Below are 12548 nucleotides of genomic sequence, written 5' to 3'. Positions count from 1 at the left end.
TTATAGAAGTAAAAACTTTTTTGAAAATTCAATTAACATGCTATTTGATCTAATTAAAAATAGGTTGATTCCTTTGGTTTCACTGCTTTTGTGACTAAAGTAACTTAGTGAGAGATGCAAACAACCGGAAGTGCCTCCTGCAGCATTTCCTAAACAGTGGTCTTTGATGATTAATTCTTTGTTTTCTACCCCCACCTCCCTAAAACTCAAAGGGTTACATGATCAAATTACTTTGAGAAGTACTGGATTAAACAAAGTAAAACGGAGTTTCAACTTTTTTCTTTCAGGACTGGCAAGAGATTTTGTCATGCCAATGTCCTTGAAACTCCTTAGAGAGTGTTTAAGCATCCAAACTTATTTGCTCATGGAATTACCACCACCACAACCATCTAACCCCCACAGCTCAAAAAACCTAGTTTGGGAAACGCTGTACCAATTAGTTCAATTCAAAAAACAATAAGTAAAATATACGGATTATTAACTGTATTACTTCAGTTTCTACAAAATCATTAATATTAAATAGAACAACAGAAAACAACAACAAATATTGAATTAAAGTTGTAATGTTTCCCCAATTGTAATAACAATATAACAGCGTAACCATTTCTTATGCTGAAAAAAAAAAAAAAAAAAAAGAAGAAACCATAGATGCCAAGAAGAGCCTCAAACAGAAGATGCTAAGGAACCTAACCAACATGGTTCAACATCTGACATTTGTAAATACTGTGGAGTCCTGAAGTGGGAAGGTCAGCAGAAAAGTCTTGGCTGGTGTACTGGTGAGAACATGTTGGCCTAAGCACTAAGCTCCTAAAACAGGGGAAATCTCTCACCAAGATATTAACTTAGTTTTTTTCACGATCAAATATCACCACCTGGAATATTGTATTTTTATTTGTTTATCTCTTCAGGGCAATCAGGAAGGAGCAGGAGGAATATAATGTAATGAGAATGTAGACATCAAAGCAGGCAAAAAGTGTAGTACAACTAAAACATACCCAACAAATCGCTTGTCCTATTTCTTCATTTTAAAGATAAGAAAATTCTGAGGTCTAGAAAGGGTTAGGCTGGAGCACCAAAAAGGGGTGAGGCGGACTATAACCTACTCGTTCTAGCTTAACTCTCATTCCAGTGTCCCATCTAGGACAAAGTAAGAGCTCTTCATATTTGAAACCAAGATCTGGTATTTTTATATCGCTCAATATACAATTGAGATTTCCCTTAAGAACCAAAATCTGTTTTTATCAGAGCAAAACATTAATCCATTGGGTTACATGAAGCACTATCAACATTCTGAAAAATAAAGCCAAGTAAATAAAACAAAATAAACTTTTCTGTGCTGCAACTCGCAAAAGTGTATCCTACTCAGTTTGATTTCCTTAGGGACTTTCATGCAATATTTATACTTACTCAAACTTGACAGATTTCTTTTGATAAGTTTTCACACACTAATTGCTCTGGAAGTGACAGACAGTTTCTGTCCCATTGGCAATTTTTAACAACTGAGTAAACAGATACTTGGAATGCAACATATTAAATGGATTGTGAAACTTCTGGGGCTCAACTGAAAAATACTGAGGCTAGTTGTATTGTGATACTCATTAAAGAAGAAAGGCCTAGCAATGGTTTTTTTGGTTTGCAGCATCCAAATCTATTGGAAATTAACTCTGAAGCTCACTTAATTGGTTCTTTTTTCTGTATCTCTAAGCCAACAACAAATGATGTATGGCTCTTATTTTTAAAAGAAGACACCAATCAAGCAATTTTCAAATCCAGGTACTCATTGAACAGATTACACAAATGATCAATCAGAATTCTCTGGATGGTTGCTCTTTAATTGTTCTTGACACCAATTTATTTCTAGAGCTATATTATGCTTCGTTATGTTCTGAGTCATATCCCAGTAGTGGCAAAGATGTCAGTTTTCAAAGATGCCTTTCTTAACCTCAAAGTTTTAAACCTGAAAGGGCTCTTAGTCCAACTTTTTCAATTTTACATATCAGGAAACTGAAGTCTAGAGAAACTGTATGAGTGGATCATGATCACACATTTGACAAGTGGCAGGGATGGGACTGTGGGGTAGCCCCAGTATTCAGAAGAGCTGATTCTGTTAGGAAGCCATATGTTCCTTTAAAAATGTATTTTGGAGCCAGAAGAAATCAGTTTTCCTTATCTATAAATTGGGGGAGTGGGATTACATGATGTCTCAGTCTCTTTCATCATTCCGTACATTCTATATGTAGATCATCAAATCCAACATGCTCATTTGACAAATAAGGAAAGAAAGATCCAAGGAAACCCAGTAACTTGCTAGGAATCACAAGGGTAGTTACTGGCAAGGTCAAGAACTGGAACACACACGTGCACACACACACACTCTTATTTATTTGATTTAAGCTGCGTTGTGTTTTGTAGAAGGAAGATATTAGAGTTAAGTCAGGAGACATGAATGGTAGTCTTTGCATTATAACAAATTTTGGCTTTAATAAATGATTTTAACAGCATGATAGAGTCCCCTTACCTTTAGATAGTTTTATCAATATGTATCCTGTTTTTTACACAGTGTTTGTGAGGTTGAATTTAAATGGATATATAATTCTAAGAAAGTAGATGTGAAAAGTGTATTTTAAGTGATTTCTACAAATGAAATGGGTAAAATGAATGTATTCATTGGTTCCTTTGTTGGTCAAATATTTACAAAGCATCAGTTGTTTGCAAAAGCACTGAGCTCAGTGCTGAGATGGAGAGGTGTGCTGGAGAGCAGTTACAAAGACAGGGGTTGGAATTAGTTATCAGTGTGCTGAGCAAAGGGAAAAATGGCATAAGTCCATGGAAAGATCTCTGGAATTGGTGTCAAGAGACATGAATTGAGTCTTGGCTTCGGGATTTAATCAGCAGGAAAGTAATTTCTATTCCTCAGTTTTCTCATCTGAAAAATAGGATAATTAAAAGAATACCTTCCCTGCCTAAACCAAGAGTTACACCGATCACCAAACATATTAATGTAAATTCTTAGAGTTTCTTTTGGCATTTTTTTCAACAAAAATTATCTTTTCGTAAATGGATTGATACCTTGTCTTTCTCTGACCTTTGCGAAAAAAAAATGTTAGAAATTGCGAGCAACCCAAAAATTTCCCTGAGAAAGTAAGAATTATACCAGGAACTGCAAGAATTAAATAGCACTGATGATTGTGCACAATAAACAGGTAGCAGGAGAAGGCAAGAGTGTTTGGTTTCAGAAGAAACCAAAACCACTCATGTCATATGAAAGAGCTCTCTCAAGAAGAGAATGACCAATAGACTTTGGATTCTGAGAGAGGGGGCCTCTGGATGACATTTTAATTATACTAAGACACAGAATGATAAATATAAAGTCATATGTGAGCTGTCATCCAGTGAACAATGCTTGGGAAACAAGAGTGGAGGGGCAGTGTCTTAGATGAGTTGAGATCTGAAGGTGTGGAAATGGGAGAGATATTGTACCTCTATTAATTAGAAGACAGACTAATTTGTATTTAAACCTATAATGACGGTAATGACCCTTTGCAGCTTAGGTTGCTGAAATCATGACTGTAGCTGTCAGGACCCCTATTAGGAATATTCTGTGGTCCAGAGAACTTGGTTTAGACAGGTCCCAAGCAATGAGCAGGACCATCCAGGGTTCAGACACTGCTTTCATTTTTTATTAGTGCTGAGTAGAGCAGGGATGACAGATATCTGTCACTTGGACCACCAGTCGCCACTCCTACACCCATGGCTAACATTTATAATTGACTCTGCCAGACACAGACTGAGAATCATTCTCAGTACAGTGTTTCAGGCAATTACCTCCAATCAATTTGTGTTGGCACATAAAGTGAAAGCTTTTCACCGTCTTTGCAGTACTGATTTTGGAGAAATGAAATGGTGCCCATATGAGGCAAGGATTAGATAAGGCCTAGTACTAAATCTCATCCAACCTTGTGCCAGGTATTTCTAAAAATAAGCCTTCCAACTAAGAGACTACTCGCTTTGTTCAAGATATTTTTAGTACATGCTATTTACTCGCTCAGATGTGGCAGTGGAGGTATGGAAAAGCAAGATGGCAAAAGGTGCATTTTCTGGTCAGGTATATGGCTCTTGAATATGTTTGAGTATGACTTATAACTTCCCCCTCTTACATGTAACTTCTTATTTTCTTGCCTCTATTTTTTGGGGGTAAATTGAGCATTTTTCTAGGGTGCAGATTTTCTTTAAGAAATTGTGGGTGGAAGTTACGGAATTTAACTTGAAAGTAATTTAACTCATTGTTTAGACAATAAGCCAAATATGAGTATATGACAAAATAGGACATACAACTTATATGATTTTTAAAGGCAAATGGAAAGGCTTCAACAAAATCTTGTATTTGGCAGTGAATGGCTTCAGCATATAATTCTGCATTCCCTGTCTCTCCTCTGCTCTCAGAACTGTATCAGTGAGAAAGTTTGAGAAATATTGCCTAGATCTGGAGTCAGTAAACTTTGCATCCTGCAAGGGAAGAAGTCATTAAAAAAAAAAAAAAACCAGGAAAGCATCCTTTTTGTTAGCATGTTCAGACTGGAGTGGAGGCTGAAGAGTGACAGTGCACAGGACAGACTGAGACTGACAAGTGGATGTGTCTGTTATAGTTTCCCTATATTATGAAACTGAAAATCCAAAGGCAATGAAATGTTGAAGAGACGTATCTGCACTCTCATGTTTATTGTAGCACTAGTCACAATAGCCAAGATATGGAATCAACTAAGTGTCCATCAGTGGATGAATGAATGAAGAAAATGTGATATATATACACAGTGGAATAGTATCTAGCCATAAAAATAATAAAATACTGTTATTTGCAACAACATGGATGAACCTGGAGGACATTATGCAAAGTGAAATAAGCCAGGCACAGAAAGACAAGCAGTGCATGATCTCACTCACATGTGGAATCACAAAACGTTGAACACATAGAAACAGAGAGTAGAATTGTGATTACCAGAAGCTAGCTGGGGAGCAGGGAGGTTGGAGGAATGTTGGTCAAAGAATAAATAATTTCAGTCAGACAGAAGGAATAAGTTCAAGAGAGCTATTGTACAACATGGTGAGTATAGTTACTAATAATGTATTCTATTCTTGAAAATTGCTGAGAGTAAATTTTCAAAGTTCTTGCCATAGAAAAAATGGTATGTGAGGTAATGAACATGTTAATGAGCATGATTTAGCCAATCCATAATGTATACGAATTTTAAAATGTTGTATGCCATAAATATATGCAATGTTTATTTGTCAATTAAAAATAAATAATAAAAAACTAAAAATCAAATATATATCTTGATATTGGGTTTTTCTTTTTCTTTTTCTTTTTTTTTTTCTGAGACAGGGTCTCACTCTGTCACTCAGGCTGGAGTGCCGGGGTGCAGCCTCCACCACCTGGGTTCAAGTGATTCTCCCATCTCGGCCTCCCAAGTGGGACCACAGGCGTGCACCACTGTGCCTGGCTAATTTTTGTATTTTTTGGTAAAGACAGGGTTTCACCATTTTGGCCAAGCTTGCCGTGAACTACTGACCTCAAGTGATCTGCCCATCACAGCCTCCCAAAGTACTGGGATTACAGGTGTGAGCCACTGTGCCTGGCCTTGATATTGGGCTTTTCTTGAAACAAACATAGTCCTCAAATATCAGTCCTCAAAAGCAGTCTGAGTGATACAACACAATGTCCACTATAACAAGTGGTTCTCAAATTTGAGTAAGCATCACAATCACTGGAAAGGCTTGTTACAACACAAAAGGCTGGATCTCACTCTTGGAATTTCTTATTCTGGAGGTGGAACAGGGAGGGACAAGAATTGCAAGTTTCTAGGTGCTGCTGATGCTGTCGGCCTGAAGACCACACTCTGAGAAACACTGTTTTAAAAGGTTTGGATACATTAGGCTCTCATTCCATCAGGCAAATGATTGTCAAAGGTGAATAGCAGCTTTCCACTGAGGAACAGGCACTCAGTCTCCAGTTTGCCATAGCCTCTACCATTCCCTACTCCATATACCAGTCCTATATGAATCTATAGGCAATTTAGGTTGTAGCCCCTGCTTTAGGATACAGACACAAAGATAAATAAATGGAACTGACCCTTAGTTGCATACTTTTGTTGGTATAAGAATGGTGCTGAAGAAAACAAATATAAGCTAATATGAGTATTTTGATGGGATAAAAGTGGGGTGCTGAAATCATACAGAACTGACATTAGACCCTTGCCTGACTGTGACAAAGAATGGCCCAGACTAGCATGGGCAACATAATAAGACCACATCTCTACAAAAATAAAAAATTAGCTGGGTATGGTGGTTCACACCTGTAGTCGCAGCTACTCAGGAGTCTGGAGAGGCTGAGGTGGGAGGATCGCTTGCGCCCAGGAGGTCAAGGCGGCAGTGAACCATAATCGCACCACTTTACTCCAGCCTGGCCAACAGAGCAAGACTATGTCTCAAAAAAACAAAACAAAAAATAGATGGCCCAGTCTGTTCAGTGTGATCAAACCATCAAACCAGTAAAGCCATGGCAGAGAGATGCAGCTGAAGTGGACTATGATGGGCAGATGGAAACACTGTTCATGGGGGATAAAGAATGTTTCTTTCAGCTATTTGTTAAAAATTTGGTATTTTAAGAAATCAAAGGTATCACCATATTTTACAAAGAGCTCAAACACACAAAGCTCATTTTAAAAGTGTTAATCCCTTGAAGCATGGATACCCTTTGACAGCCAAGTATAGAATACTTTCAGATAATGTGGAAAGCACATAAAAGCTAAAGAGACAACTATCAAAGTTCAATGCCCAGTCTCAGAAAGAATATGGCTTTTTCTCAAGTAGCAGGAGAACAGAACAAAATCACATGATACAACTCTTTCAGCTCCACACTTATGCCCGCTTCATACAAGCCCTGTGGTTTGATCCCAGGTTCTCTCTAGGAAGGAGTGTGGGTCCCATTGCTGGGGAGAAAATCAGCATCCAAGTCCTGTGGATTCGAATTCCATAGAGGTTTTTTGTCTCACCGTCATCTGTCACTGGCCTAAGAACATCCTGCTCTTTTGCCTGTGTCAGGTTCAGTGCCACTGCAGGCCAACCCATACAACGCTGTCAGATTAATCCTACCAAAGGGCAGCTTTGAGTCATGTCCTTCCTTCCCACACAAATCCTCTGTGAGTCCCACTGCCTCCTGGATAAAGTAAAATGCATCCAGCTCACATTCAAATCCTTCCATAACAGGACCCCAAGTTACTTAATTTTAGCTTTCTACTCTTTACTCTTTGTTAATGTATACTCTTGGGGAGGATCCCTCAAGCGAGGAGTTGCAAAACTTTAGGGAGGCTGAGTAAGGGCATCCGTGATTAATGGATTCATACAATACATAGTATTCCTGCAGGGGTCGCTTGTAGCTGCAAAGAGAAGACACAGTGGGAGGGCTGTGCCCGTCCATCTGGGCTTTAAGCAGAGAGCTCTGTTTTTGAAATTTGCACTTCCCCACGAAATTGTATTTTAAGAAAGGTTTATACTGCTAAGAAGGGTTGCTTAAGGTATAGTGGAAAAATAGTCACTGATCCCCTTGTGTGCCGGGTGCTTTTCAGTCCCTCTGACAAGGCTTGTGCACTCTCTTCTCAGGACGTGTTTCCCTGCTTTACTTATCTCAGCCACCACCTTTTGCAAAAAGCCATTTCCTGACCAGGAAAATTACATGTGGTCTCTCCTCAACAACAAAATAAGTGTTTGTTTCTTTTTTGCCTCGTAGCAACCAGCCCATTATTTCACACGTTGAAATTTGTTTGTAACTGTATTAGAATAGTTCAGTTGCTCATCTCTCCTCCATCTTCCAGGCTTGAAGACTGCTTGTGGACAAGAATACATATGGCCAGAGAACATACACTTTACTTTTGTGAAATCAACTTACTAAGCATTAGTTGAATCGAAGTGGAATTCCAAATGCCAGAAGTTTCCTGGAGCAACAGTATTATTGCTGAACTCCAGGCCCAAAGTGTTAGTTGAGAAAGAAGTCGCTTGTAAATAAGAAAGTATATCTCTTTCATCAGACCATTAATGGTAAATCAAATTCACTGAAATCAGAGGAGGGAAAAAATAACAACAAAAAAAACCTCTGGACTATCAAAATACATGTTTTAAGTCAGAATGAGTGAGCCCCTTTCGTTAAAAATCCTTCCCTTTCCATTTATTTCTGACTCTGGTGCAGTTTTGCTGAGTTTACTAAGACAGAAAGAAAATATGACTGACTGGCCAAGAATGAGAAGGACTCAGTAAAGGCAGAAAGGAAAGCATGCAGCAGCGAAGTTAGTCCACCTGATGTGACTTACGCTAAATGACATATGTTGATGAAAACTAGAGTTACCAGATGACACCCGTGTGACCTGGACACAGGTCAGATCACAGTTACTCAAAGGTGACAGGAACACCTGGACTGAATAAGACATCTCTATGCACAAGGAAAGTTAAACTGGATCCAGTGAGCCAGATACTTTTGTTCACCTTACTAAGTAAGCCTCCATCTCCATCAGCAGAACCACAACTTTCCTACTTCTTTACATTTTCAAAACACTTTTATATCCATTATCTCATTTGGTGCCTCTGACAATTTTTAGAAATAAGTAGAATAAGGATTAGTTCCATTGGAGAGACAGGGAAAGTGAGATATAGAAAATTACATAAGCTATTCCAAGACCACAAAGACTATCAGTGGAATTAGATTTGGGATTAAAACAGACATCTCTTGAGACCATGACAAAGATTTCTTTTCCTATGCCAGGAGCCACTGCAACTGAAACCTCCAGCTTAACTAAGCCAATGACATGGCAGTCCAGCAGTGATTACCCTGACTGATGTGCCAGGCCTGTGGTTGAGGGGGACTGTGGTAGGGATCAGGACAACCTTGTTTTCTTTTGTATGCCACAGTATTTAACCCCATAGCAACATTCAGGAGTACTGAGAATTTCAGGGAACTAGGTGACCAGTTAAATCCTGAAATATCAGTATTGTACGGGTCACTCGTACCATCAGCACTTAAATATATTTCGTAGGAAAATTTTGACTGGACAAATCATAATTAATAGAAATTTTGCTTTTTCTCACAGCATAATCAAAATCTGTCTTCTTACTTTAAGCTAAGCAATTTCTGTGAAGAAAGAAAAAAGAGGATTCAATATGGGAACTAAAATGGATTCTCAGGAATAATGAAAAAAATGTTGAATGGTGGAAAATGTCAGTTTAACTCTAATTATTTACTTTCTTTAAGGCTTCAAGCAGTAATATGACTGACTGAGCAAGCTTTCAAGTAATATAATCAACTCCCACACAAGTTAACAACACACAACCTTTTCACCAAATTATTAAACAATTCCACATTCTCCTTGATTAAACTTGTGATCTAAAATTCAGACAACTGACATTTAAATCACGAGCACAAATTAACCCTTAATCAAATGTGCTAAGAAAATACCAATTTTCAGCCGGGCAGGGTGGCTCATGCTTGTAATGCCAGCACTTTGGGAGGCAGAGGCAGGCGGATCACTTGAGGTCAGGAGATCGAGACCAGCCCGGCCAACATGGAGAAACCCCGTCTCTACCAAAAATACAAAAATTAGCCAGGCGTGGTGGCAGGCGCCTGTAATCCCAACTAATTGGGAGGCTGAGGCAGGAAAATCTCTTGAACCGGGGAGGTGAAGTTTGCAATGAGCCGAGATTGTGCCACTGCACTCCAGCCTGGGCAACAAGAGCAAAACTCTGTCTCAAAAAAAAAAAAAAAAAAAAAGAAGAAGAAAGAAAAATAAAATGCCAGTTTTCATTATGGCCCAAGATGCTTTTCCCCGCTTCCCTGCGTCTTGCTAATGCTCCTGTGAAACCAATAACAAAAGCATTCGGTCTGTTGGTCTGTAAAGAATGGAACTATCCTTTTCAAAATAAAGGTATTTTGTTCTTTTATTTGGACCTTTAAAAACAAAAAAGACCATCACTGGCTGCAATGGTCCGGTTCTGCCTTGAGGTGCAGTGAAGAGGACTAGATGAAAGATTAATCATCTATGAGTTTGGCTTTATTACCAGGTTTGCCAGAAAGGCACTTTTCATCTTCTTAGCAATGCTTCGTCAATTGGTTTTTGGGGAACGGCAGTCATCATTCCCCCAAGGCCAGCATAGAGATGGGAGTGAGTCACAGGAGACCAATCATACCTCAGGACACAGTGATTGGTTCAGTGAGGATCACATGACTTAAATCAGCCAATCAGAGATTTTTAAAATTCAAACTGAACAAACAGGTCTTTTTTCCTCTGGTTTCAAGACGCCAAAACAGAGAGCGAGCGCAAAGTGTCCATGCTCATGTCTAATGTATTTTTGACAAGCTGGTCTGGGAGAAGAAACTAGGACTCAGAACTGACAGGCAGAGAAGTGAGTACATGTGGTGGTTGAATTCCTCAAGAAAATCTACTCAGAAGAAATATTCTATTCAGGTAATATGCTTTGAAAAAAAATCAATAAATTAGGCCAGACACAGTAGCTCATGGCTGCAATCCTAGCACTTTGGGAGGCTGAGGTGGGCAGATCACAAGGTCAGGAGTTCAAGACCAGCCTGGCCAATGTGGTGAAACTCCATCTCTACTAAAAATTCAAAAATGAGCTGGGCGTGGTCGTGGGCACCTGTAGCCTCAGCTACTTGGGAGGCTGAGGCAGGAGAATCGCTTGAACCCGGGAGGCGGAGCTTGCAGTGAGCCGAGATCGCACCACTGCACTCCAGCCTGGGCGACAGAGTGAGACTCCGTCTCAAAAACAAAACAAAACAAAACAAAAACAATAAATTCATTTTATAAAAAACTCCCTAGTGGACACTGTTCTTTTTTTTTTTCCGTCCCCTGTGATAAAAAGTATCTGAAAAATTTCTTAATATAATATAAACCCTTGTCATTTCTTTTTCTCCTTAGAGACTTATTTTACCTTCCTCCATTTACTAATGGCCCCTTCTTACCATTGTTCCTAAGCCCCACTTGAAAAATAGTTGTATACTAATTTCCTATCCATCTGGTACCACTTAAAATAGTTCTGCGTAAAAACTGGTTCTTAGAAATGGTGGATTCTTCCCAATGACTCTTGTAATTCTTTGAAGACAATAACACAAAGACTTGCAAGAAAAAAGTCAGCTTCAAGAAAAATTAAAGGAAAAAAGTGGGCATCTGATGATTACAGCTCTTTATGGGACATCTAGGCAAGACCATGCTTTGTTCTATTTTAAAATAAATATCTTTACCTTGGGTGTGTGAAGTATTATTTATAACCGGTCAAGTATCTACTCTAGAACTTGGGGTTAGACGTACATGGTCTTGAAACCTTGGTTTACCACTACTTTGTGAGCATGGAAAGTTACTTAACATATCTAAGACTCAATTTTCTCATCTGAAAAATGGAGATAATAATAACACACCATAGGAGGGTTGGGGGATCACGTGCAATACTGTAGCCAAATTGCTACTTATAATCAGCACAGTGTCGAGCACATGGTAGCACTCAATAAATGTTAATGTTTATTATTATTATTGTTGATAAGGCAAAGATGGTGAATAGAATCATTTGATGACTTACATGTTCCTTTAAATTTATTCTGAAGACCCATTCTAAATCATCATCTACTTAATATTATCAGATCAGGTCAGAATTTATAAGGAATAAAGCTACCCTAATATCTTATCATAGACAGTATTTTATTTTCCTAAAGTTATTTCCATTTATGTTACTTCATTTGACTCATCTCTTGGAGCTAATAATCCTGCTTTCCAGAAAAGAAAATGAGGAAGAGAGAAAAGGTGACTCATTAAAACTTAACATTAAACAAAGCCAGGCCAGAAAATTAAATCTTGTGATCATGTATACAGTGTTAGCATGCTTATTATGCTAACAAATAGAAGTAGCAAAAATTATAAAATTAATATGCTCTCTCACTTTCAAAAAACTGAGATCTGGGAAGAAACTGGGAGTGCAGCCACGAGGTAGGGTGTGGCCTGGTAATAAACAAATGCTGTAATTGAGAAACTTAGCAACTAGATTTTACTTAGAGTTCATGTATTACAGATTATAGCTGAAAGCATCCTAGGAAAAAATCTGTTCAGTTCTCCTTTATTAGAAGCAGAGAGAACTATCTAAAGAAGGATTAAATACTTTCTTGTTTTATTATTTTTTCTTCTTCTTTTTAGTTAGTAAGTGATTAGGGCAGTACTGAAACCCATCACCCTGGATTTTTACCTGATGATCTTTTCTTTTACAGTGCAGTGGAAAAGGCAGTAGGTAAGTAGGTATCTTCTGTCTAACTCTGTGATCTTGGCCAAATCACTTAATCTTTCTAAGCCTCAGTTTTCTCACATGTAAAGAAGGGATAACAACCCCCACCTTAGAGGTTTGATGACCAAATGAGACTATGCAAGTAAGAACACTTTGTAAACAATAAAACGCCAAGCGAAGGTGAGAAATCATTAACAGACAGGGATTGCAAATAGACTCCACTACAG

General features: G+C 38.5%; 1 protein-coding gene and 1 long non-coding RNA gene across 38 annotated transcripts in view; one reads left to right on the top strand and one right to left on the bottom strand.

Moving 5' to 3' along the window:
• CNTN4 (contactin 4) overlaps nucleotides 1–12548 on the bottom strand; it is a 959094-nt gene that overhangs the window by 193880 nt on the left and 752666 nt on the right. The gene's annotated exons all lie outside the window — the stretch shown is intronic.
• The window catches only part of LOC105376926 (uncharacterized), a 38900-nt gene continuing 38598 nt past the window's right edge, over nucleotides 12247–12548 (top strand). The window contains exon 1 of the long non-coding RNA XR_001740398.2: nucleotides 12247–12327. This is a non-coding gene — a long non-coding RNA (uncharacterized LOC105376926). The remainder of the gene's footprint in view (nucleotides 12328–12548) is intronic.

This window comes from Homo sapiens, chromosome 3, assembly GCF_000001405.40.
Source record: "Homo sapiens chromosome 3, GRCh38.p14 Primary Assembly".
Classification (NCBI taxonomy): domain Eukaryota; kingdom Metazoa; phylum Chordata; class Mammalia; order Primates; family Hominidae; genus Homo; species Homo sapiens.
Note: the sequence above shows the minus strand (reverse complement) of the source record. Positions and strands in the feature narration are given on the sequence as shown.